The 26,578-nt window shown below is 40.1% G+C and overlaps 1 long non-coding RNA gene and 1 pseudogene across 1 annotated transcript in view, besides 4 other annotated features; both read left to right on the top strand.

The window, feature by feature from the left end:
• DUTP4 (deoxyuridine triphosphatase pseudogene 4) lies at nt 5,782-6,258 on the top strand (annotated as a pseudogene).
• LINC00850 (long intergenic non-protein coding RNA 850) overlaps nt 14,318-26,578 on the top strand; it is a 54,092-nt gene continuing 41,831 nt past the window's right edge. The window contains exon 1 of the long non-coding RNA NR_109813.1: nt 14,318-14,426. This is a non-coding gene — a long non-coding RNA (long intergenic non-protein coding RNA 850). The remainder of the gene's footprint in view (nt 14,427-26,578) is intronic.
• Nucleotides 18,564-18,613: an enhancer, noted in NCBI's record as "active region_30017". NCBI's record gives its function as "activates an Ori minimal core promoter by ATAC-STARR-seq in GM12878 lymphoblastoid cells {active_cell/tissue: GM12878}" and the evidence as "EXISTENCE:reporter gene assay evidence [ECO:0000049][PMID:35858748]".
• Nucleotides 18,814-18,953: an enhancer, noted in NCBI's record as "active region_30018". NCBI's record gives its function as "activates an Ori minimal core promoter by ATAC-STARR-seq in GM12878 lymphoblastoid cells {active_cell/tissue: GM12878}" and the evidence as "EXISTENCE:reporter gene assay evidence [ECO:0000049][PMID:35858748]".
• Nucleotides 18,974-19,043: an enhancer, noted in NCBI's record as "active region_30019". NCBI's record gives its function as "activates an Ori minimal core promoter by ATAC-STARR-seq in GM12878 lymphoblastoid cells {active_cell/tissue: GM12878}" and the evidence as "EXISTENCE:reporter gene assay evidence [ECO:0000049][PMID:35858748]".
• Nucleotides 19,064-19,183: an enhancer, noted in NCBI's record as "active region_30020". NCBI's record gives its function as "activates an Ori minimal core promoter by ATAC-STARR-seq in GM12878 lymphoblastoid cells {active_cell/tissue: GM12878}" and the evidence as "EXISTENCE:reporter gene assay evidence [ECO:0000049][PMID:35858748]".

A 26,578-nucleotide genomic window follows, 5' to 3' on the forward strand; every position in this document is an offset into this window, starting at 1 on the left:
ACAAGGGTAGTAAGTAACAGGGCTGGAACCAGATCTCTAGTCTGATTCCACTGGAGCCCAAGCTGCTCCCACTCCTCCCAGCCTGAGGCCCACTTCCTGAGCAGTAGTTCATTTCTCACCACTGCATCATGTCTCTCAGGTGACAAAAGGAAGGACCCTGGGGACAAAGTACTAAAAGCAGGCCAAAAGAAGGTGACAATGAGAATCAAACAGAATTTGGGTGGCATGTGTTGGGGCCCCTGGGAGCTGACTGCTGGGTGCCTTCTGTTGAGCACCTACTATGAAAGATGTTATGGGAGAGCCTACAAGTGCTCATCCACATCTTGGTTCCTCCGTCAAAGGCACAAGAGACAAGTACACTCCCAGCCAGCATGTCTGTCTGGCCCCAACACTTTCCCGAGTTACAACACCCTTCCCTTGGTCGCCCTCACGTGCCCTCCATTCCAACTCAGAGGCCCAGCCTGGTGCTTGCTCTTCCTTGCTGCCTCAGGAGGCTGCACAGAATCCCCTGCTTTCCCCAGAACATGGAGCATCCCTATCCCCTGCAGAACCCCCCTAGCTTTCCCACGGCTCACCTTCGGTCCTGTCCCACAGCCACAGCCACCTGGTCCTCCCTCCCTGGGAGTTCTATACACATTCTTTATTTTCCCAATGGGCTGTGAATAGACTATACTTTGCCCATAATCTCCTGACTCTTGGGAAACAGCCCTGAAGGTGGAGAGTAGATTTTTAAGCCACTCACATATTTGCAGTAGGATTTTAATGGGCTTCTTATCTGAAGCTGGGAACTGAACAGGCAAACAAATAGATAGTGCTCAGAAATTCCATTCCTTCGTAAGAGGTAGAAGAGGAGCACCCATCCTCTAAAGCTGAATTCTTACAAACACTGGGCTCCTCCCGGGGTATGAGAAATGCGTCCTTGATGGACATGCCACCTGGAATTTGAAAAGAATGATGAATCACTCTTCCACTGCCTCCTGTCTGGCATCTGCACCCAGGGACATACTGGCTTTCAGTGTGACTAGTGGCACCTGCACAGGTGTTTAGGCAAGAACAGTTATGTGGAGAGAAGCAGATATGTCACGTAAGATTCTGCCCCTGCATCAGGTGGAAGGAGGAAATCCGCAGCCTCCTGAGATGATAGATGGCATTGCAAAGGGAAGTGCGGTAAATGCTATGGAGTATGGAAGGTGAAATCTCCCTGCTAACTTTTGCAGGATCTTCTTCAATTTGATGGGTTAATGCATTTGAAAGCATCTGCTACGTGGTAGACACTTGCAAATTCAGAGAATTTCAAGGCAAAACTGGTCTTCTCAGAACCGTCTATAAGAAATGAAGAGTGTAGTTATCATAACAAATTAGAGTTTGTATGTAGCTTCTTCTACTTCTGGCTGCGTTCATAGCCGTTGTTTCTCCACAACTATATTGTTCAAATTTCTCATATTGCCATGGGACATTTTAGCTAGTCTGATCTATTGAAAAAAATAACACTTGGTTTCATCAATTGCATTTATTGTTTCCAGAAGTTTCTGAAGTTTCAATTTCATTAATTTTTCTCTTCCTGTCTATATCATCCCAATCCTTTTGTTTTCCTCAGGTTTAATTTACTTTTATTTTTCTAATTATTTAACATCAATGATTAGATGTTTTATTTGAGCCATTTGTTACTTTCTTACATAAGCACTCAAGGAGATAAAAATTAGGCACTACGTTAGCTGATTTCCACATATTTTAAAACATCATATTACCATTTTTATTTATCAGAATATATTTTCTCATTTTCCTTAATAATTTTTTAAACAAAGAAGAGTAAAAATGTGTTGTTTATTTAAAATTACATGGAGACTTTACAAATATGTCCTTTGTTATATTTTTATTTTATTCTGGATCTTTAAAATTTCCACTTTGTACAATTTCAATTATTAAATTGAAATGTATAATTTGAAATGAATACATTTTCGTATTAAAACGTATATTTTGTACAACTTCAATTATTTTAAATTTGTTAAGAGTTGTTTTACGGTCTATCTTGGTAAAAATTCCACATACACTTGAAAACAATATTTATTCTGCTGTTGTTCTGTGACGTGTTCAGTAAAAGCCAGTCAGCTCAAGTTGGTTCTTTGTGTTATTCGGGTTGGTCTATAACCTTGCAGAGTTTCTGTGTACTTCAATCATTTACTCAGAGAGGAGTTTTGCAATCTCCAAATGCAAGTGTAGATTTGACTATTTATTCTTTCAATTCTATCAGATGTTTCATGTATTTTAAAACAATGCTTTTAGGTGAACTAACAGGATTATGATGTATTTTTTGTTAATTGACTCTTTTATCATTGCATAATGTCCCTATTTATCCAGGGTAATTTTCCTTCCCATAAAGTTTTTAAAAGTTTACTTTTCTGTTTTTCCAGCTTTCTTTTTAATTTTCAATTTTATTATTTAAATGGACAAACAGTGTTTTTTTCCTTTTCTGTCCAATTCTGTGGGTTTTGCTCATGTATAGATTCATGGAACCACCATCACAATCTTCATACAAACAATTCCGTCACCCTCCTCTCCAAGAGAAACCCCTTTTACTTGCTATACACTTATAGTTATACCCACATGTCTACAACTAACAGTGGGAACCTCTCATCTGTACTCACTATTTCAGTTTTCTCTTTCAAGAATGTCACATGAATAGAAAAAATAGAATATGTACCTGGTTGAGACTGGCTCTTTCCACACAGCAAGACATCTTTGAGTTTGATACACCTTGTTGTGCATACCAGTAGTTCATGCCTTTTATTGCAGAGTAGTTATTTCATAGTTTGGATGCACAAAAACTTCATTGTCCATTTATCCACAAAAATATATTTGTGTAATTTTCAGGTTTTCTCAAATATGACTAGAGCTGCTGTAAACATTCATGTAGTAATGTCTTTTAAAATTTTTTTTTGTTATTTTCAAATATATGTTACTGTAGCTCATTATGCCTTAATATGCATTTCTCTAATAGCTGTGATGTAGAATAATTTCTCATGTGCTTCTTTGTCATGCATGTGTCCACACTGGACAATGCCCTCAACATACTGGGCACTGCAGGAACACACCTCAAAATAATATAGCCATCTATGTACAAACCCACAGCCAACATCATATGGAATGGACAAAAGATGGAAGTGATCTCCATGAGAACCAGAACAAAACAAGGATGCATACTCTCACCATTCCTATTCAACATATTATGGAAGTCCTAGCCAGAGCAATCAGGCAAGGCAAAGATATAAAAGGCATCCAAATAGGAAGAGAGGAAGTCAAATTATCTCTCCTTGCAGATGATATGATTTTACACCAAGAAAGCCCCGATAGTCTCTGCCCAGAAGCTCCTAGATCTGATAAATAACTTCAGCAAAGTTTCAAGATACGAAATCAAGGTACAAAAATCAGCAACAATTCTATACACCAACAACATCCAAGTGGAGAGCCAAATCAAAAACATAATCGCATTCATAATACAAAAGTATAAAATGCCTAGGAATGCAGCGAATCAGAGGTGAAACGCCTTTACAGTGGCAGTTACAAATACTGCTGAAAAAAATCAGAGATGACACAGGCAAATGGGAAAACATTACATGCTCATGCTTAGGAAAAATCAATAATATTTAAATGGCCATAATGCCTAAAGCAATTTACCGATTTAATGCTATTCCTAACAAACTACCAATGACATTTTTCACAGATTAGAAAAAAAACTATTCTAAATTCCATATGGAACCAGAAATAAACCTGAATAGTCAAAAGCAATCATAAGCAAAAAGAGCATAGCCAGAGGCATCACAGGACCTGACTCTAAACTATACTATAATGCTACAGTAACCAAAACATGATAGTCTTCTCTAACACGGGTTAGAGAACCCAGAAATAAAGCCACACAGCTATAACCATCTGATCTTCAACAAAATTGACAAAAACAAGCAATGAGGAAATGAGTTCCTATCAATAAATGGTGCTGGCATAACTGGCTAGCCATACGCAGAAGATTGAAACTGAGCCCCTTCCAGTTTCAACTCAAGATGAATTCATCTTTAATCCATCAACTCAAGATGGATTAAAGACATAAATGAAAAACCTAAAACGATAAAAGTCCTAGAAGAAAACCAAGGAAATACCATTCTGGATGTGGGCCTTGACAAAGATTTCATGATGAGGATTCCAAAAGCTATTGTAAAAACCCCCAAATTGAGAATAAGACCTAAGTAAACTAAAGAACTTCTTCACGTGAAAAGAAACTATCAACCCAGCAAACAGAAAGGCTACAGAATGGGAGAAAGATTTGCAGACTACACATCCAACAGAGGTCTAATATCCAGAATCTATAAGGAACTTTAACAAATTAATAAGGAAAAAACAACCCCATTAAAAAATGGGCCAAGAACATGAGCAGACACTTCTCAAAAGATGACATACACACAGCCAACAAGCATAGGAAAAAGTGTCCAACGTCACTAACATAGAAATGCAAATTAAAATTACAATGAGATACCATCTCACAACAGTCAGAATGGCTATTAATAAAAAGTCAAAAAAGAAACTGATGCTGCTGAGGTCATGAGGAAACTGATACACTACTGGTGGGAATGTACATTCCTTCAGCTATCGTGAAAAGTAGTTTGTAAATTTCTCCAAGAAATTAAATCAGAATTACCAATCGACCCAGCAATCCCATTACTGGATATGTACCCAAGGGAATATAAATTGTTCTACCATAAAGACACATGCACACATATGTTCGTCGCAGCACTATTCACAGTAGCAAATACATAGAATTAACTGAGATGCTCATCAATGGTGGACTGGATAAAGAAAACGTGGTATATATGGACCATGAAATACTATGCAGCCATTAAAAATAACAAAATCATGACCTTTGCAGCAACATGGATGGAGCTGGAGCTATTATTCTAAGCAAATTAATGCAGGAACAGAAAACCAAATACCACATGTTCTCACTTATAAGTAGGAGCTACACATTGAGCATATGTGGACACAAAGGAGGGAACAATAGACACTGGAAACTATTTTACCAATGTGGAGAGTGGAGCCTAGGGGTAGGGTGACAATTTGAAAACCACCTATCTGATACTATGATGATTACCTGAGTGATAAGTCGTCAGTACACCAAACCTCTGAGACACGCAATATACCCATGCAACAAATCTGCACAGGTACCCCCTGAAACAAAAATAAAAGTTGGGAAGAACCAAAGAACCAAAACATAATTAAATTTTTTTAAAATAAATGCAGTAAAGATTGTAAAGTCAGAAAAAAAAATTTCCAAATCATTTTCCACAGTGGTTGTACTATTTCATAATTCCCACTGGCAACATATCAGATTTTAAATTGGTCTTCATCCTTGCTAGCACTTAGTAATATCTTTTTTGAGAAATTTTCAGTCATTTTAAACTATGTGTTATGCTATCTCTTTATGGTTTAATTCTCACTTCTCTAATAGATATGATGAACAATGATTTTTCATGTCTTTATTTGTCATGCATATGTCCACTTAGGGGAAGTGTCTATTGATATCTTTTCCCCATTTATGAAATTTAGTTATTTGTGATAAGTGAACTCATGTTAGGTGATTGTTTTGGACTAAGGTCTGTCTCCAGGCCCTAGCAGAACAGACCTATACAGAATGGAGACACTGGTGCTAATTGTCACTTAATCAAAGCAAATGTTGGCTCATCCTGTATTCTCTTGTTCCCTGGACTGTCTCCTCTGCTTTCCTTTTGCTCTGCTATGCCCTGCTCTGAAAAGACACCTGCCATTTCTCCCCCAGCAAGCAGGCCTGACCTGCCAGGAGGGCAGCATGCAGCTGTGCTTTGCCTGCTCTCCAAGCATGCCATGGCCCTGAACCAGGGGTCTTGGCTGACCGCAGACTATAACCTGTATAGTGCCTACGATTATACAATACCATCTACGGAGTAAGCGCTTGTGAAAACTGCTCTTCCTGCTGGCTGCAATGGATGAGTGGCTCAGTGGTCTGGCCTGGCTGCAAAACACTTTATAGATACAGGAGCTGGTGTCACAGACGAAGGTTATAGAGGAAATGGTGGGACTGTAGTGCTTAATTTGGGTAAAGAAAGGTTTGAAGTCAAAAAAAGTGATCAAATTGCACCAGTTTTCTGTGAATGGATTTTTTATCCGTAAACAGAAGTTCAAGCTCTGGATGAAACTGAAAGGCCTTCAGAAGGTTTAGGTTCCACTGGAAAGAATTAAAATCTATGCCAAAATAGAAAATGTGAAATCATACTGTTTTCTGAAAAATGAAGAGTTTTGCTTAAAGTGATTTGTTGTTTGGTACTTCTCTAAATTTAATAGCTATAACCTTCTAAAAAGACTGCATTTTCATATGATCAAGGAAAGAGTACATCTGTACAGATCACATAATATACTTTCTTATGTTTTTTTTCCAATAAACAGTTGTATGTAAATCTGTCTTGTGGTGACCTTATTCAAACGGTGTCTTTTAAAAAATTAAATGTATATCAATTACTAATACAGAAAAACTTGTATTGCTTAACTCAATCAATGATACCCCATTAGCAATTTATTTTGCTTTAATGGCTTTAAATCATTAATACTTTTTATTGAATAAACTTAAATTCTTTCATGGATACAAAATCTTGCATAAGCTAAACCAAAAGAAATAAAAAATGAAAGGGAGAGATTAAAGTTGTTCCTTGTTCTTCCCTTCTCTTCACTAGTCTAATTTTTTTTAATCTTAAAATTCTTTGTGAGGGTGAGAAAAGAGTCCTCAGTTTATTTTTTCATTATTACATTTCTTTTGGTAGATCTCCTGTTGACTAGGAGAGGTATGCTCTTGAAAAGACATGTGTCTTGGGAATTTCTTACATTTAGTTTGTTTCCCTGAATTTCATCTGAAAACTAAAAAGTATCTGAGATAGGTGTCAATCAATTTGGAAGTTTATTTTGCCAATGTTAAGGGCATGCCCAGGAGGTAGGTCTGTGCCTTTCTCCAGAGATGATTTTGAGGGCTTCAATATTTAAAGGGGAAAAGCAAGCTGGAGGACATTGAGGGAGGGCACGGTCACATTACTGAATGCACATGTTGCAAGAGGAATAGGAGCAGGTAGGGGTATAACCAGTTATGTATTCCTCTCTCCCTCATTAAACTGGCACTTTACGTAAGATAAAGTGAACGTAGAGTAGCTACCTGTGGATATATTTAACCTTTTATCTGTAGCTATCTGCTTAGGAACAAAAGGAAAGGCAGCTTCCTACATGACTCACCTTTCAGATTCATTTTCTTCTTTTGGCATAGTGAATTAGGGTCCCACATTTTTATGTTTCTTTCACATTTCTCCCTCTTTTCTTCTGAAAATCTTTCAGACAAAGCATTTGTATTAGTCACCTTCACACTGCTATAACAAACTACCTGAGCCTGAGCAATATATAAACAAAAGAGGTTTAGTTGACTCACAGTTCCGCATGACTGCAGAGTCCTCAGGAAACACAATCATGGCAGAAAGTGAAGGGGAAGCAAGGCACCTCTCACATGGTAGCAGGAGAGAAAGGGCACAAGGGGGGACCTGCCAAACACTTTTAAACCATCAGATCTCATGAGAACTCACTCACTATCATGAGAACAGCATGGGGGAAACTGCCCCCATGGTCCAATCATTTCCTACCAGGTCCCTCCCTTGTCATGTGGGGATTATAATTCAAGATGAGATTTGGGTGGGGACCAGAGTCAAACCATATCACCATTTTAGAAAAAAATGAGTTTCTGGTTTTGGGTTTTATCTGATCACTCATGGCTAGGACTGTTTATTTCTAGAATACATAATGTAATTCATCATTGCAGTATCCTAGAGAATAATTTCACCAGTCTAATAAATCCCTTCTGCTTATCTAAGGCATACCTTCTCCCCACCCCAGATCACTGGCCACAACAGACATTTTTACTGCCTTTATAGCTTCGCCTTTTCTAGAATGTCAGGTAAATTAGATCATATACTATCTATCATTTTCAGACTGGCTTCTTTCACTTAACACTAAGCACTTAAGATTCATTCATGTTTTTTGTGCCTCAGGGGTCATTTTTTGGTTGATGAATAATGTTCTGTTGTTGTTGGAACACAGTTTTTCCATTCACCTCCTGAAGAACATCTTGTGTGCTTCCAGTTTCTGACAATGATGAAGTAAGCTGCCACATACATTTGTATGCAAGATTTTTGCGTGGGCATAAGTTTGCAAACCAGCTGGATGTATACCTAGGATTGAAGAGACTGTGCTCAGTTTTGTAATGGAAACAGCTGACAAACTGTCTTTGAAAGTTGCTTTACTACTTTGCATTCCCAGCAGTGATGACCAACAGTGTCTTTTGTTCCTCGTTGCCAGCCATTGGCATTTTCGATTTTTTGGATTTTAGTCATCCTAATACGTGTGTATCTCACTTTTATTTAATTCACAATTTCCTTCTGAAGAATGATGTTGATTATCTTGTCTTATGATTATTTTCCATCTGCATATGTTTTTTGTCAATGTGTCCATTTAGAGATTTTTGCCTGTGAACTTTAAAAAGCAGTTGGGGCCAGGTGCGGTGGCTTACGCCTATAATACCAGCACTTTGGGAGGCTGAGGCAGGCAGATCACCTGAGGTCGGGAGTTCGAGACCAGCCTGACCAACATGGAGAAAGCCCGTCTCTACTTAAAATACAAAATTAGCTGGGCATGGTGGCGCATGCCTGTAATCCCAGCTACTCAGGAAGGCTGAGGCAGGAGAATCGCTTGAACCTGGGAGGTGGAGGTTGCAGTGAGCCGAGATCGTGCCACTGCACTCTAGCCTGGGCAATAAGAGTGAAACTCGGTCTCAAAAAAAAAAAAAAAGCATCTGGGCTTCTATTTTTCTGATAAAGTCTTTTAGCACTTTTTTGTCTTTAAGTTAATTAAATATAGAAAATTAAATCATATAAATTATATATAAGCATATAAAATATATAATATATAACCATATATATCTAATGAGGTGTTTTGAAATTAGAAAAAAATCTAATTTTACAAACCTCAAAATTATTTAAGGTCCCTTATGCAGCAGAGAGTAGCAAGAAGAGACAGGCAGAAATAAATGGAGAAAACAGAATTCAGTTGACTGAGAAGGGTAAAAAAAATCCCTTTTTGTCAAAAAAAATAATATCCTAGAAGAGAAAGAAAGCATAAAGGCCTGATATATATATATATGCTTGCTTTATACATATATATATATGTATGTGTATGTGTATATGTATGTATATTTACCTGTTTTATTATTATACTTTAAGATCTAGGGTACATGTGCATGACGTGCAGGTTTGTTACATATGTATACATGTGCCATATTGGTGTACTGCACCCATTAACTCGTCATTTACATTCCTATTACATTAGGAATATCTCCTAATGCTATTCCTCCCGCCTCTTCCCACTCCACGACAGGCCCCGGTGTGTGATGTTCCCCACCCTGTGTCCAAGTGTTCTCATTGTTCAATTTCCACCTATGAGTGAGAACATGCGGTGTTTGGTTTTTTGTCCTTGTGATAGTTTGCTGAGAATGATGGTTTCCAGCTTCATCCATGTCCCTACAAAGGACATGAACTCATCCTTTTTTATGCCTGCATAGTATTCCATGGTGTATATGTGTCACATTTTCTTAATCCAGTCTATCATTGATGGACATCTGGGTTGGTTCCAAGTCTTTGCTATTGTGAATAGTGCCGCAATAAACATACGTGTGCATGTGTATTTACAGCAGCATGATTTATAATCCTTTGATGTGCTGCTGGATTCAGTTTGCCAGTATTTTATTGAGGATTTTTGCATCGATGTTCATCAGGGATATTGGTCTAAAATTCTCTTTTTTTGTTGTGTCTCTGCCAGGCTTTGATATCAGGATGATGCTGGCCTCATAAAATGAGTTAGGGAGGATTCCCTCTCTTTCTATTGATTGGAATAGTTTCAGAAGGAATGGTACCAGCTCCTCTTTGTACCTCTGGTACAATTCGGCTGTGAATCTGTCTGGTCCTCGACGTTTTTTGGTTGGTAGGCTATTAATTATTGCCTCAATATCGGAGGGTGTTATTGGTCTATTCAGGGATTCAACTTCTTCCTGGTTTAGGCTTGAGAAGGCGTATGTGTCCAGGAATTTATTCATTTCTTCTAGATTTTCTAGTTTATTTGCGTAGAGGTGTTTATAGTATTCTCTGATGGTAGTTTGTATTTCTGTGGGATCGGTGGTGATATCCCCTTTATCATTTTTTATTGCGTCTATTTGATTCTTCTCTCTTTTCTTCTTTATTAGTCTTGCTAGCGGTCTATCAATTTTGTTGATCTTTTCAAAAACCAGCTCCTGGATTCACTGATTTTTTGAAGGGTTTTTTGTGTCTCTGTCTCCTTCAGTTCTGCTTTGATTTTAGTTATTTCTTCCCTTCTGCTAGCTTTTGAATATGTTTGCTCTTGCTTCTCTAGTTCTTTTAATTGTGATGTTAGGGTGTCAATTTTAGATCTTTCTTGCTTTCTCTTGTGGGCATTTAGTGCTATAAATTTCCCTCTACACACTGCTTTAAATGTGTCCCAGAGATTCTGGTATGTTGTGTCTTTGTTCTCATTGGTTTCAAAGAACATCTTTATTTCTGCCTTCATTTCGTTATGTACCCAGTAGTCATTCAAGAGCAGGTTGTTCAGTTTCCATGTAGTTGTGTGGTTTTAAGTGAGTTTCTTAATGGTGAGTTCTAGTTTGATTGCACTGTGGTCTGAGAGACAGTTTGTTATAGTTTCTGTTCTTTTACATTTGCTGAGGAGTGCTTTACTTCCAACTATGTGGTCAATTTTGGAATAAGTGTGATGTGGTACTGAGAAGAGTGTATATTCTGTTGATTTGGGTGGAGAGTTCTGTAGATGTCTATTAGGTCGGCTTGGTGCAGAGCTGAGTTCAATTCCTGGATATCCTTGTTAACTTTCTGTCTTGATCTGTCTAATGTTGACAGTGGGGAATTAAGGTCTCCTATTATTATTGTGTGGGAGACTAAGTCTCTTTGTCGGTCTCTAAGGACTTGCTTTATGAATCTGGGTGCTCCTGTATTGGGTGCATATATATTTAGGACAGTTAGCTCTTCTTGTTGAATGGATCCCTTTACCATTATGTAATGGCCTTTGTCTCTTTTGATCTTTGTTGGTTTAAAGTCTGTTTTATCCGAGACTAGGATTGCAACCCCTGCTTTTTTGTTTGTTTGTTTTCTATTTGCTTGGTAGATCTTCCTCCATCCTTTTATTTTGAGCCTATGTGTGTCTCTACATGTGAGATGGGTTTTCTGAATACAGCACACTGATGGGTCTTGACTCTTTATCCAATTTGCCAGTCTGTGTCTTTTAACTGGAGCATTTAGCCCATTTACATTTAAGGTTAATATTGTTATGTGTGTATTTGATCCTGTCATTACGATGTTAGCTGGTGATTTTGCTTGTTAGTTGATGAAGTTTCTTCCTAGCATCAGTGGTCTTTACGATTTGGCATGTTTTTGCAGTGGCTGGTACCAGTTGTTCCTTTCCATGTTTACTGCTTCCTTCAGGAGCTCTTGTAACGCAGGCCTGGTGATGACAAAATCTCTCAGCATTTGCTTGTCTGTAAAGGATTTTATTTTTCCTTCACTTACGAAGCTTAGTTTGGCAGGATATGAAATTCTGGGTTGAAAATTCTTTTCTTTAAGAATGTTGAATATTGGCCCCCACTCTCTTCTGGCTTCTATGTAGAGTTTCTACCAAGAGATCCGCTGTTAGTCTGATGGGCTTCCCTTTGTGGGAAACCTGACCTTTCTCTCTGGCTGCCCTTAATATTTTTTCCTTCATTTCAACTTTGGTGAATCTGATAATTATGTGTCTTGGAGTTGCTCTTCTCAAGGAGTATCTTTGTGGCTTTCTCTGTATTTCCTGAATTTGAATGTTGGCCTGCCTTGCTAGGTTGGGGAAGTTCTCCTGGATAGTATCCTGAAGAGTGTTTTCCAACTTGGTTCCATTCTCCCTGTCACTTTCAGGTACATCAATTAGACGTAGATTTGGTCTTTTCACATAGTCCCATATTTCTTGGAGGCTTTCTTTGTTTCTTTTTACTCTTTTTTCTCTAAACTTCTCTTCTTGCTTTATTTCATTCATTTGATCTTCAATCACTGATACCCTTTCTTCCACTTGATCAAATCAGCTACTGAAGCTTGTGCATATGTCACGTAGTTCTCGTGCCATGGTTTTCAGCTCCATCAGGTCATTTAAGGTCTTCTCTATGCTGTTTATTCTAGTTAGCCATTCATCTAATCCTTTTTCAAGATTTTTAGCTTCTTTGCGATGGGTTTGAACATCCTCCTTTAGCTTGGAGAAGTTTGTTATTACCGATCGTCTGAAGCCTTCTTTTCTCAACTCGTCAAAGTCATTCTCCATCCAGCTTTGTTCTGTTGCTGGCAAGGAGCTGCATTTCTTTGGAAGGGAAGAGGCACTCTGATTTTTAGAATTTTCAGCTTTTCTGCTCTGTTTTTTCCCCATCTTTGTGGTTTTATCTACCTTTGGTCTTTGACGTACAGATGGGGTTTTGGTGTGGATGTCCTTTCTGTTTGTTAGTTTTCCTTCTAACCGTCAGGACCTTCAGCTGCAGGTCTGTTGGAGTTTGCCTAGGTCCACTCCAGACCCCGTTTGCCTGGGTATCAATCACCCGAGGAGGCTGCAGAACAGCAGATATCGCAGAACGGCAAATGTTGCTGCCTTATTCTTCCTCTGGAAGCTTCGTCTCAGAGGGGCACTGGGCTGTATGAGGTGTCAGTCAGTCCCTACTGGGAGGTGTCTCCCAGTTAGACTACTCGGGGGTCAGGGACCCACTTGAGGAGGCAGTCTGTCCATTCTCAGATCTCAAACTCTGTGTTGGGAGAACCACTACTGTCTTCAAAGCTGTCAGACAGGGACGTTTAAGTCTGCAGAAGTTTCTGCTGCTTTTTGTTCAGCTATGGGCTGCCCCCAGAGGTGGAGTCTACAGAGGCAGGCAGGTCTCCTTGAGCTGCGGTGGGCTCCACCCAGTTCGAGCTTCCCAGCTGCTTTGTTTACCTACTCAAGCCTCAGCAATGGCAGACGTCCCTCCCCCAGCCTTGTTGCTGCCTTGCAGTTCAATCTCAGACTGCTGTGCTAGCAGTGAGCAAGGATCCGTGGGCGTGGGACCCTCCAAGCCAGGCGCAGGATATAATCTCCTTGTGTGCTGTTTGCTAAGACTGTTGGAAAAGTGCAGTATTAGGGTGGGAGTGTCCTAATTTTCCAGGTACTGTCTGTCATGGCTTCCCTTGGCTAGGAAAGGGAATTCTCCTACCCGTTGCACTTCCCGGGTGAGGTGATGCCCTGCCCTGCTTCAGCTCACAATCCGTGAACTGCACCCACTGTCTGACAAACCCCAGTGAGATGAACCTGGTACCTCAGTTGGAAATGCAGAAATCACCCATCTTCTGCATCACTCAAGCTGGGAGCTGCAGACTGGAGCTGTTCCTATTCGGCCATCTTGAAACTGCTCTATATTTACCTTTTAAAATTCTTGTTTCTTTTTTTCTCAGACGTTAGATATGAGTTCTAAATTTCTTTTCAAATAATTAATATGTCAGTATGTTCAATTCTTTGCTTTCTACTTTTAAACTTAACTTCCTCGTAAAGCAACCTTTTTCGATTACCTACTCCACCCTGACTCATTCAAATTACCTACTCCACCCTGACTCATTCCAATCACCTGTGCCACCTTAACTCATTCTGATCACCTGCTCCACCCTAACTCATTCAGATTACCTGCTACCTGCTCTGCCCTGACTCCCGCCAAAGCACTCAACCCAACATTCTCTTTAAATTAGCCAATCTGAATTTAGCCTGTGCAGGCTAACCCTAGCCAATAGGAGAATGACACAGCAGCAGGGGCCACATGCGTCAGGGATAAGAACCCCTTCCCCTCCCTTGTCCAAGTGTGCGCTCACCATTGCTCCATCTGTAAGGGCATACCCTTTTATAGAAGTAACTTGCCTTGCTGAGAATTAAAAATAAAATTTTATATTTGAGTGCTATTACTTTTGCTGCACTGAAACTTTATATATAACAATTTAGGGGCTGCCTGTGATTACATTCCCCTCTAGGGACGTTCTCTGGTTCTCTCTTGTGAGGAGGCACACCCCGCCCCCTTGTGGCAGCCTCAGGGGTGAGAAATCAAGACCCACCCAGTGTGAGGAATAACCTGGGCTCTCAGCAACGTGGGGGCAGGGGACTGGCCAGCAACCTAGCTTAAAGGATCCTCACATAGTGTGGCAACAACTCTGTGCACAGACCAAGGAAGGAGAAGCTGTGGGAGCTGGTAAAATATTTCCTTGGTGGTCAGGACCAAGGTAAGAAAGTTGCAGTGGGGCGGGGGCGGTGAAGTACTCCTTGGTCGGGGTGGCTTAGAAGTTAAAAAGTGGTGAGACATCCCCATTGTGGGGGATTGAACCTCACACAAATCTCCAGTAGTAGAAATGGCAAGAAACTTCCAGTGGGGAAATTGAGCCTCACCCCAAAATGCAAGAAATTTCCAGTGGGGACATTGAGCCTCACCCCAAAAAGGCAAGAAATTTCCAGTGGGGGAAATTTAGCCTCACCCCAAAAGGCAAGAAATTTCCAGTGGGGAAATTGAGCCTTACCCCAAAATGCAAGAAATTTCCAGTGGGGACATTGAGCCTCACCCCAAAAGGTGAGAAATTCCCAGTAAGGGAAATTGAACCTTGAACCTTACCCCAAAACCATCAAGATGAGAAATACCCCAAGCAAGACAGGGAGCAAGGAGGATAAAGATGGTAACAAAGATATCCCCCCGGATAGCCCCCTAGGTCTCATGCTAAAACACTGGAAGGATAATGAAGGGACTAAAAGAAAAAAGGAAAAAGCAACAAATGATACAATATTGCTGTTTTACTTGAACTCAGGGACCCATCCTCAAACCCTCAATCTTCTGGCTAAAGTTTAGGTCGAATGAGCATGTAATGTGTCAGCTTCTAATCCGATATGTTAATGATAAAAGTCCAGTGTCTCAAGAAGAACTAGGCTATGGAGACAAGGACCTGCCCTCCTTTTTCCCTTAAAAACAAATAGGGAAGAACCCAATCTGGCACCTCAAAATGAAAAGTCAGAGGAGCCAGCTCTCACGCCTAAACATTCCAGCGCATGAGATCCTCTAGACTATCTTCCCCCATTCAGTGTCCCCAATCTTTCCCCTCAGACAGCCACTGACACCTCAGATCCCATTCCAAATCCCCCTCTACTCATGTTATCCCTCCTCCTTATAACCCTGACTCTTGGGAATTACCATTCCATCAGTCTGTTCCCTCCCGACCTAAATACCCCTGTCTAAAAGGACTCCAGTATGAGGTAGAACGATGTAAAAAAGATATTCAGAATTTCCCATTTCCCTCTGTACCTAAGGGGTTAGCCCTGATCCTCTTACCTTTGAAAGAGGTACCACAAGGAGGGTGGGGGGAGGGGGGAAGGGGGCATTGGATTTGTAAATGCTACCCTACCGAGTTCAGAAGTCCACAGTTTTAAAAAAGGAGCTTAAATCACTACTAGATGACCCTTACAGAGTGGCAGACCAAATTGACCAATTCTTAGGACCTCAGTTGTACACCTGGGTCGAGTTAATGTCCATCTTGGGCATCCTCTTTTCAGAGGAAGAAAGAGTAGCTCCACTCCTGCCAGTCCCTCCCCTAGGGAAAGGGGAAGGAGAGGGGAGAACAGCAGCATAAGCAGCTGGCAGAGGCAGGGAAAGAACAGCAGAGAGGAAAGAGAGGGAGGGGGGAAAGAGAGAGAGAGAGGAAGAGACAAAGAGGGAATCAAAGAGAGAAAGAGAGAGAGACACACACAAAGAGGGAGTCAAAGAGAGAGAGAGAAAGAGGCAGAGAGAGAGGAAGAGACAAAGATGCAGTCAGAGAGAGAGGAAGAGACAGACAAAGAGGGAGTCAAAGAGAGAGAGAGAAAGAGGAAGAGACAGACAAAGAGGGAGTCAGAGAGAGAGAGAAAGAGGAAGAGACAGACAAAGAGGGAGTCAGAGAGAGAGAGAGGAAGAGAGAGAGACAAAGAGGGAGTCAGAGAGAGAGAGACAGAAAGTCAAAGAGAGACAGAGAAAAAGAGAGGCAGAGAGAGAGGAAGAGACAGACAAAGAGGGAGTCAAAGAGAGAGAGGCAGAGACGGAGTCAAAGGGAGAGAAAGAGAGAGACAGAAAGTCAAAGAAAGAAAGATAGAAGTAGTGAAGAAGAAACAGTGTACCCTATTCCTTTAAAAGCCAGGGTAAATTTAAAACCTATAATTGATAATTGAAGGTCTTCTCCATGACCCTATAACACTCCAATACCACCTTGTTGTCAGTGTAAACAAGGGCATAGCCCTAAAGCACTTAGGCCACTGACAACCCTTAGCCTTCCTATCTAAAATCCTTAACCTGCGGATGGCCCAAATGCATTTAATCTGTAGCAGCAACTGCTTTGCTAGCAGAAGAAAGTAGAAAAATCGCTTTTAGAGGAAACTTCATTGTAAGCACACCTCACAAGTTCAGAACTATCTTAAGTCAAAAAAAAAAAAAAAAGCAGAAAGGTAGCTTACTAACTCAAAAATCTTAAAGTATGGGACTCTTCTGTTAGAAAAAGATGATTTAACATTAACCACGGATAATTCCCTTAACCCAGCAGGTTTCCTAACAGGGGATCTAAATCTTAATTAATTACCATACAAAGGTCTGACCATACCTAGGAGGAACTCCCTTCAGGACAGGACAATAGATGGTTCCTCCCTGGTGACTGAGGGAAAAAGACACAATAGGTATTCAGTAATTGATAGGGAAACTCTTGTAAAAGCAGAGTTAGGAAAATGGCCTAATAATTGGTCTGCTCAAACCTGAGAGCTGTTTCCTCTCAGCCAAGCCTTAAAGTACTTAAAGAACCAGGAAGGAACCATCTATGCCAATTCTAAGTAAATCTGGACTAAACAAGGTCTTGTTAACAGCAAAGGATAATTGAAATCCCAAACTTACAAGGTTTTCAACAAAAGTAAAGTTTGCTAAAAGTTAACAGTGTAACATGTATTATCCTAACTTCTAATCTTATGGTCTTAGGCAGTCTAGTCCACAGACATGAAGGAAGTTCGCTTTGGAAAAGAATGGTTATCATCTTTAGGAAAAAAAGGGTGGAGGGGGGAATTTATGTAAAAAGAATGTTATATGGTAAATTCTTGTCCTAAAGTAAATTAACTGGTTGTTTAAAGAAAAGGATGTTTGCAGCAAGTCAGAAAGTTGAGGCACATGGAAGAATTGTCTGTGAAAGTCATGACCAAAAAAAAGTTATAAAAGGGAATTTATGCAAGAAATGTTGTATAATTTAAAAGTAATTAGGCCTCCTGAATGTAGAATTATTGAAGAAACAGTTTACGTGCAAAGTGTATAAGGAAAGTAAAATATACCTTTGGTAAAAGGATTATATGGAGGCATAATGATGTGGATTTTTACCTACATTAAAAGGTTAAAAAAATATTTTGTTTTAAAGGTTTAAGCAAGTTTTGAAATGTTAATTGTAAAGGGAATCCTGTGTGTAAACATATTGGCTAAAGTTACAGAGGTATCATCCAGTTTTTCTGTGAACTGGACATTGTAAATAAAAAGTAAAGTAGAAGTTCGTCTTCAAAGACTTTCCTTCCAATCTAATTAGGAATAAATAGTAACTTCTCTTAGAAGCAAAATTTATTCAAAGACCTGTGCTCCTAAATACTTGCCCTGGCATGCTTATACTGGTCCAAGCAAGCATCAGGTCATAGCCTGTGCCTCTTCTTTATTTAAAAGTGTTTTTACCTTTCTCAGCATTCCACAATTTACTTCCTCCTTCCTTTGTTCTCCTCTACCTTTGCCTCTTCTAAAAACTCCTAAGTTGCTAGCCATTTGGGACGAATACAGAATGTGAGGTCCCGTTCCAGCCAATGGAAACCGGACACAGCAGTAGGGTGGATGCGTCAGGTCATAAATGACCCTGTCTCCTTTGTTTGGTGTATTCTCGTGGCAAAACTGCTGGCGAGTGTACCCTTTCTGCAGAAAGTAAAAATGGCCTTACTAAATAATAATGTTCAAGTGCTATTTCTTTACGGCACTAGGGAACAAGCATTTCAAACAATTTGATGGGCCATATGGGGATACATTCTCCTCTGGGGGTGGTCTCCAGTCGTCTCTCATGATGGAGCGTGCTCCCTTACCTCATTGCAAGCGTCTCATGGGTGAGAAATTGAGACCCACCCGGTGTGATGAATAAACCTGTACTCTCAGCAATGCAAAAATAAAAAGAGAGAGAGAGAGAGAGAGAAAAAAAAAAACAGAAACTGGCCAGCAACCTAGCTTAAAGGATCCTCACATACTGCAGTGATGACTCTGTGCACAGACCAAGGAAGGAGAAGCCGCAGGAGCCAGTAAAGTAAAAAAACTGCAGGGGTGGTAAAGTATGCCTTAGTCAGGATGTCCTGGAGGTTAGAAAGAGGTGAGAAATCCCCAGGGGCGTTGAACCTCAGAAAGAGCTGAGAATTCCTTGGGGGGGGGGTTGAACCTCAGAAAGAGGTGAGAAATCCCCATGGTGGGGGGGTTGAACCTCAGAAAGAGGTGAGAAATCCCCATGGTGGGGGGGTTGAACCTCACACAAACCTCCGGAAGTAAGAAAAATATTTAGAAACCCCCCTTTCCTTTCTTCTCAGGGGAAGAAAGAGTAGCTCCACTCCCGCCGGTCCCTCCCCTAAGGGAAGGGAAAGGAGAAGGAAAAACAGCAGCATAGGTGGCTGGCAGAGACTAAGGAAAGACCAGCAGAGAAGAAAAAGAACTTAGGAGAGAAGAGAGAAAGCAAGCAAAAACAGCAGTCACAGAGCCAAACAGCGAGGCAGGCACGCCAAGGGTTAAGTCCCTCTCCCCAGCCCCAGTCTATGTGAAAAAGAGGGCGGTGGACCCTTGCTGGGAGGAGAGCAGAGGAGGTGAATAGGGCATAATTCTTGCAATTTGCGGCAGGCATCTGCCAAGCCTCTAGGCTGGTGACTGCCCTAGGCCCAGACTGCAGCCACGCAAATCTCACCCAGCCCGAGAAACTAAGTGTAAAAAGAAATGAAAAAAAAGAAAGTAAAGGGGGGGAACACAGGAGAAACAGCCGGCCGCGCACGCGTAGGGGGCGGCCGTGGCTGGTCCCCGCTCACGGCAGGAGCAAGAGAACTCGGGAAAAGAAAGGGAAACAGGATGACAAAGGATGACAGAGGATGAGGGAGAGAGAGAGAGAGAGAGAGAGAGAGAGAAATACAGTGCAAATGAGAGAGAAAGAGAAATGGAAAGGGTAAGTAAGAGAAACTGGAAGAGACAGAAATCAAAGACATAGAGGGTGAAACTAGAAAAAGAAATAGTGTAAAAGGAAGGCACAAAGTTAAGACATGTTGCAGATTGTGAAAGTTGTAAGAAAAGCTATAAAAGGGAATTTATGCAAGAAATATTGTATAATTTAAAAGTAATTAGGCCTCCTGAATGTAAAATTATTTTTAAAAAGTTTATGTACAAGGTATGTAAGAAACATAAAATATACTTTTAATAACAGGATTTTAAGGAGGCATAAGAATGTGGATTTTTACCTACATTAAAGGTTTAAAATTTTTTTTTGTTTTAAAGGTTTAAGCAAGTTTTAAAAAGTTAATTGTAAAGGAAATTCTGTGTGTAAACATACTGGCTAAAGTTAAAGAGGTATCATCCAGTTTTTCTGAACTGGACGTTAAAATTAAAGCACAATAGATCTTTCTTGAAGCACTAACCTGCTCTTTAACAAAAATTATAAAAAGTTAAAAAGAGTCTATAAAAGTCTTACCTTATAATCAGACATTCAAATTAGATAATGTCTACAAAATTTTATTAAAATTAAGTTTAACATTAATAGCATATTAATATAAAGATAAAATTTAACTATAGTCAGACATTAAAATTAGATAATGTCTACAAAATTTTATTAAAATTAAGTTTAACATTAATAGCATATTAATATAAAGATAAAATTTAACTTATCTGGTATAAAATCATATAAAAAACATTGTCAAATATAAAATGGTGTTTAGCTTTCTTAAGGCCCAAAGGCAGCCAGGTAAGTCACAAGGCCCCTCATCCTCAAGGTCACAGTGCACAGGGGCAGTGAAGGCCACAAGAAGGCCAAGACATTAAGAAGGGGCAGGACTGCAGCATCCCCTAGGTGGCACTGAGCAAGAATGGAGCAGGAGGCGTCACCATGAGGCCTCAAGCCCCAGAATATGCAGCAAAAATTATATACTTATCTTCCACTTTTCCTTCCCTTGGAACTAAAAGTCTTTTAGCACAGGTGCCACCCCTAGAATTTCCAGTACATCAGCACCAGCCTGAAAACCACGTCCTCATCAAAAGATAGAAAAACTCAAGCCAGCCTAGGAAGAACCCTATTTTATGCTGTTAACTGCTGAGACTGCCGTCCGCACAGCCAAGACAAAAAAAAATGGACCCACCATACTCGAGTCAAAAAAAACTTCCTCTCAAAATCGTGGGTTACTGTACTAGGATCAAGCCCTACTAAGTTAAAGAAAGCTTAATTTTCATATACCTTCTATATTGCTTCCTTTCCTTTCCTTATTCTGTTACTAGCTCCTTTGTTATTAATGTAACTAAATCTAACTCACCTCAAACCATTGCCTTTAATGCTTGCGCTGTCATACCTTGTGGAAATGTAAAAGATCAACAACAGCTAGTCTTTTCACACAAATATTTATGTCCCAGCCCTCTAATTGACACGGTTACCCCTAGCACTCATTGTTGTAATCACATGCAGCCAAGATGCCAATTTTCTGCTCCTACAGGCTGGCAACCTTGTAGTAAATGGGACTACATCCATTAAACTACTCAGGAGCAAAGTTAAACTTCCACGAAAAAGGTTTGTGCAGATCTAAAATCCCTCATCTATTTCACTAAAAGGACTACCCCTTCTAACTGTCAGCCTTATCAATATAACCCCGTCCTTCTCTCTATCACCACCTCCACCTTAACTAACTCTAAACCTGCCCTTAGTCGCTTCTATAGTATAAGGATTGACGTAAATGGAAAAGACCCCCATAAGTATTTTTAAAATATGCATTATTCCCCCATCTTCCCCTTCTTCAGTAGCCTCAGTTCTAGATCTCACACCGGTTGCTCCTACATCTAATAAAACTAGGGTGTCTATTATAAAAATAAGAGACCTAAGACAAACAGCCGTCAAGACAAAATATCAAATTGCAAATGCCTGGCTGAAATTGATTAAATAATCCGTTAATAAAAGCGATTATGACGCTTGTATGCACGGTAGGCCAGAGGCCCAGATTATCCCCTTTCCATTCGAATGGTCTCCCCATTGACCACATACGGACTGTACGGTGGCTCTTTTTCAAAATCCCACTGCTTAGAATAATCCATCCTACTGAGCTCTCTCTGCTATCTCCTAAAGTTCAACCCCCTGTGGGCCAGCCCCTGAGGGCAATCCAGCTTCCACCTCTAAATGCCAAGTTTACTTTGTACCTCTCATGGCAGGGGGAAGATTTGGTGTTTCTTGGAAACATAAAAGGATATAAAGAGCTCAAGCCTTTCTAAGAGCTTGCCCATCAGTCCATGCTTAGCCATCCCCAAGCAAATGTATGGTAATCCTGTAGAGGATCTTTACTAGACACTTTGCCAAATAATTGGAGCAGTACTTGTGCTCTAATCCAATTGGCTATCCCCTTCACCCTGGCATTTCATCCATCTAAAAAGGTAAAAACAAAACACCGCAGGCCAAGGAAAACTCCTTGTAAGTCCTTTAATCCTCAGGTTTATATAAATGCTATTAAGGTCCTGTGAGAACTGCCAAATAATTTTAAAGCACAAAATCAAATAGATGCAAAATTTAAATCCACGTTGTTCTAATAGGTAACTATAAATTAAAAAAAAATTTAACTTCAATTCTCACCTTGTTCGTTCTTATTATTGGTGTACTTATTCTTGTAGACTGTTATATTATTCCCTGCCTTCAAAGTTTTATGCAAAAACTTGTCTCTGCCACTCTTACAGAGTTAACTCCTAACTCTCCTCCACCCTATTCAAAAAAAAATTACTTCTTTTACAGGGACAAAGCAATTAAGTCAAAACATATTAAATAAGTTTGAAGAGAAATTATGAAATAAAAAGAGGGGGAATATTGTAAAAAGTAAAGTAGAGGTTCCTCTTCAAAGACTTTCCTCCCTATCTAATTAGGAATAAATAGTAACTTCTCTTAGAAGCAAAATTTATTCAAAGACCTGTGCTCCTAAGTATTTGCCCTGGCATGCTTATACTGGTCCAAGCAAGCATTAGGTCATAGCCTGTTCCTCTTCCTTATTTAAAAGTGTTTTTACCTTTCTCAGCATTCCACAAGTTACTTCCTCCTTCCTTTGTTCTCCTCTACCTTTGCCTCTTTTAAAAAGCTCTAAGTTGCTAGCCAATCGGGACAAATAAAGAATGTGAGGTCCCGTTCCAGCCAATGGAAACCAGACACAGCAGTAGGGTGGACATGTCAGGTTATAAATGACCCTGTCTCCTTTGTTTGGTGTACTCTCATGGCAAAACTGCTGGCGAGTGTACCCTTTCTGTAGGAAGTAAAAATGGCCTTATTAAATAAATTAAATTTATGTTCAAGTGCTATTTATTTACAGCACTGGGGAACAAGCATTTCAAACAACAGCAAAATAAAAGCACAGCAGGTTTTTCTGAAAGCACTAACCTGCTCTTTAACAAAAAATATAAAAGGTTAAAGAGTCTATAAAAATCTTACCTTATGGTCAGACATTAAAAATCGAATAAGTATGTCTACAAAGTTTTATTAAAACTAAGTTTAACATTAATAACACACTAATATAAAGGTGAAATTTAGCTTATCTGGTATAAAAATCATACAGGAAGCATTGTCAAATATAAAATGATGTTTGGCTTTCTTTGGTCTAAAAACTAATAAAAATGGGTGCGAAAAGAAATTTCTCAGTAAGAAGGCACCAAGGACTATAAAGTCCACTGCTGATGTCCTCACATTTAAAACAAAAGGTCAGTTTCTTAGAAATTATATACTTGGTTTATCTTCCACTTTCCTTTCCCTCAAAACTAAAAGTCTTAGCACAGGTACCACCCCTGGTTTACAGTAAACCAGCACCAGCCTGAAGATCATGATCTCATCAAAGGGTGGAAAGAAGGAAAACTCGAGCTACTCTGGGAAGGACCCTACCTTGTACTGCTAACCACCAAGACTGCTGTTGGTACAGCGAAAAAGGGATGGACTCATCACACCCAAGTCAAGAAAGTGCCACCCCCTCCAGAGTTGTGGGCCATAGTCTCAGGGAAAAACCCTACCAAACTAAAGCTAAGAAAAATTTAACTCTCTTTCACCTCTTCTATTACTCTTTCTTCTTTCCTCACTCTATTGCTGACCATCTAGTTATTAACATAACTAAGTCAATTTCACCTCAAACTATTGGATTTGATGCTTGCCTTGTTACACCCTGTGGGGACTTGCCAAGTCAAAGACAGCTCTCTACTTCAGAAAAGTACCTCTGTCCCTCCTGACTCTCCTCAGACTGGGCATTAGTAAATTAGGACCATTTAATCTGGGGAGATTTCGATAAAGACTCCAGTGTTAACCAGGAGTCTTGCTCCCTGATGTACAGCTTTTATGCAGTAGTTGGTCCAACGTTTTCTGGACCACTAAAGAGCAAGGATGGACTGCCCCAACCAGTTTTTGTAATTTCCTAAAACTATACATTCATTTTACTAGAGGATCATAGAAGTTAAAGACTTAAAACAAACTTTGGCAATTAAGACAGGATACCAAGATGCAAATGCCTGGTTGGAATGGATCAAATATTCGGTCCACATGTTAAACAAAAGCAATTGTTATGCTTTGCACACGGCAGGCCAGAGGCCCAGATTGTCCCTTTTCGACTAAGGTGGTCCTCCAGTTGACAAGGTATGGGCTGCATGGTAGCTCTTTTCCAGGATTCTACAGCCTGGAGTAATAAGTCGTGCCAAGCTCCCTCTCTGCTATATCCCAAAGTCCGGCACCCTGCGAGTGAGACCCCGAGGGCCATCCAGCTTCTGTCTCCCAACACCAAGTTCACTTCGTGTCTTTCACTACAGGGAGGAAACTTAGCATTACTCGGAGACCTGAAGGGATGCAGTGAGCTTAAGAATTTTCAAGAGCTTATCAATCAGTCAGCCCTTGTTCATCCCCAAGTGGATGTGTGGTAGTATTGTGGTGGACCTTTACTGAACACTGCCAAATAACTGGAGTGGCACTTGTGCTTTAGTCCAATTGGCTATCCCTTTCACCCTGGCATTTCATCAACCAGAGGAAGGAAAAAATAAGACACCATAAAGCAATAGAAGCCCCTTATGGGTCTTTTGACTCTCACATCTATTTAGACACAATTAAAGTCCCACAGGGAATACCAGATCAATTTAAAGCCCGAAATCAAATAGCTGCAGGATTTGAGTCAATACTTTGGTGGATGACAATTAATAAAAATGTAGATTGGATAAACTACATCTATTGCAACCAACAGCAATTTATTAACTACACTAGAGATGCTGTTAAATAGCTGAACAATTAGCGGCTGCTAGCGAGACGGCTTAGGAAAATAGGATAGCCGTAGACATGATATTAGCAGAAAGAGGAGGAGTTTGCATCATGATTACAACTCAGTGTTGCACCTTCATCCCAAACAACACCACCCCTAGTGGAAGTATAACAAAGGCACTGCAAGGTCTGACTGCTCTATCCAATGAGCTAGCCAGCAACTTGGGTAAATGGTCCCTTTACAGGATGGCTAGAAAAGTAGTTCAGTAAATGGAAAGGAATAATAGCCTCGATTCTTATTTCCCTTGCAGCGTAATGGGTGTACTTATTCTTGTTGGGTGCTGTGTCATACCATGCATCTGTAAGTTGATGCAGAGGCTCATAAAAACGGCACTTACTAAAACCTCCCTTAACTATCCTCCACTTTATCCAGAGACACTTCTTCTTTGGAAAACCAAGCAAAACAACTAAGCCAAGACATGTTAAAAAAATAAAAAAGTTTGAAAAGAAAGCTGTAAGGAAATACAAGGGGAGGAGTTGTTAGATATGAGTTCTAAATTTCTTTTCAAATAATATGTCAGTATGTTCAATTCTTTGCCTTCTACTTTTAAACTTAACTTCCTCGTAAAGCAACCTTTTTCTATTTCCCACTCCACCTTGACTCATTCTGATCACCTGCTCCACCCTAACTCATTCTGATCACCTGCTCCACCCTAACTCATTCAGATTACCTGCTACCTGCTCTGTCCTGACTCCTGCCAAAGCACTCAACCCGATATTCTCTTTAAATTAGCCAATCGGAATTAGTTTAGCCTCTGCAGTCTAACCCTAACTAACAGGGGAATGACACAGCAGGTGTCACGTGCATCAGGGATAAGAACCCCTTCCCCTCCCTTGTCCAAGTGTGCGCTCACCAGAAGTAACTTGCCTTGCTGAGAATTAAAAAGAAAATTTTATATTTGAGTGCTATTCCTTTTGTGGCACCGAAACTTTATATATAACACATACACAGACACAGACAGACAGACACACACACACACACACAGGCACACACAAACATATATATCTTGGATCTTAGCTTTTAATTAAGCTGATTTTTAACCATTGTGCTCTTTAAAAAAAATCCTTTTAAATCTCATTACCATATTTTGGCTGGGACAAACTGCTGATATTTCAAAAGTAACAAAAATATCAAACCAGAAAGGACTTGATTTAGGAACAAATGCAGGCTGTCTTGTGAAAAAAAGGCAGAAGCTTAGCTAGTGTACTACAACCATTGCTGTTTCAGTTTGGCTTGTCTACTAAAAGGTGGCCTTCTTATGTAAATAAAGCACCACAGGTAATCAAATTCTTGTTTTTTTTTCTTTTCTTTTTTTTTTTTTCCAGCTGCATGAATTTAGCCAATTCAGAGACCTTGTTCCCCATAATTTGGAACTTTCCTTTGGATTTGGCCAAGTCCAGTAGAGTTGGTCAGAAAAATCCCTTCCTACTTCCTGTAAAAAGATTGGAAAGAATTCATTAGAAAATATGCCCAGAGTGTTCTGTTCTTCTTACCAGATAAATTATTTTTCCAGAGTCTAACTTGCTGGGTTTTTTTCTAGACTTTAACCAACCTGTGGGAAGGGAAATATCCAATTACAACACCATCCAGCCTTTTGTGTCTTCAAGGAGAAAACAAAACTGAGAAGCACTAGTGAAAGCTACAGCCCAGGGCACACTGATTCAAGCCTGACACCTAGTCATAGGAGGATAGAACATTTTCCTTCCCTCCACAGCTCACTGCCACATCAATGGGGGAATGAAACTGAAAGAACTGTGAGTGCCAGATCATAGTGAGCAAGTCTCCAAGGAAAACCAAACACAACCAAGGAGGAAAAATGAAGGATACC

This window comes from Homo sapiens, chromosome X (assembly GCF_000001405.40).
Source record: "Homo sapiens chromosome X, GRCh38.p14 Primary Assembly".
In the NCBI taxonomy this organism is placed as follows: domain Eukaryota; kingdom Metazoa; phylum Chordata; class Mammalia; order Primates; family Hominidae; genus Homo; species Homo sapiens.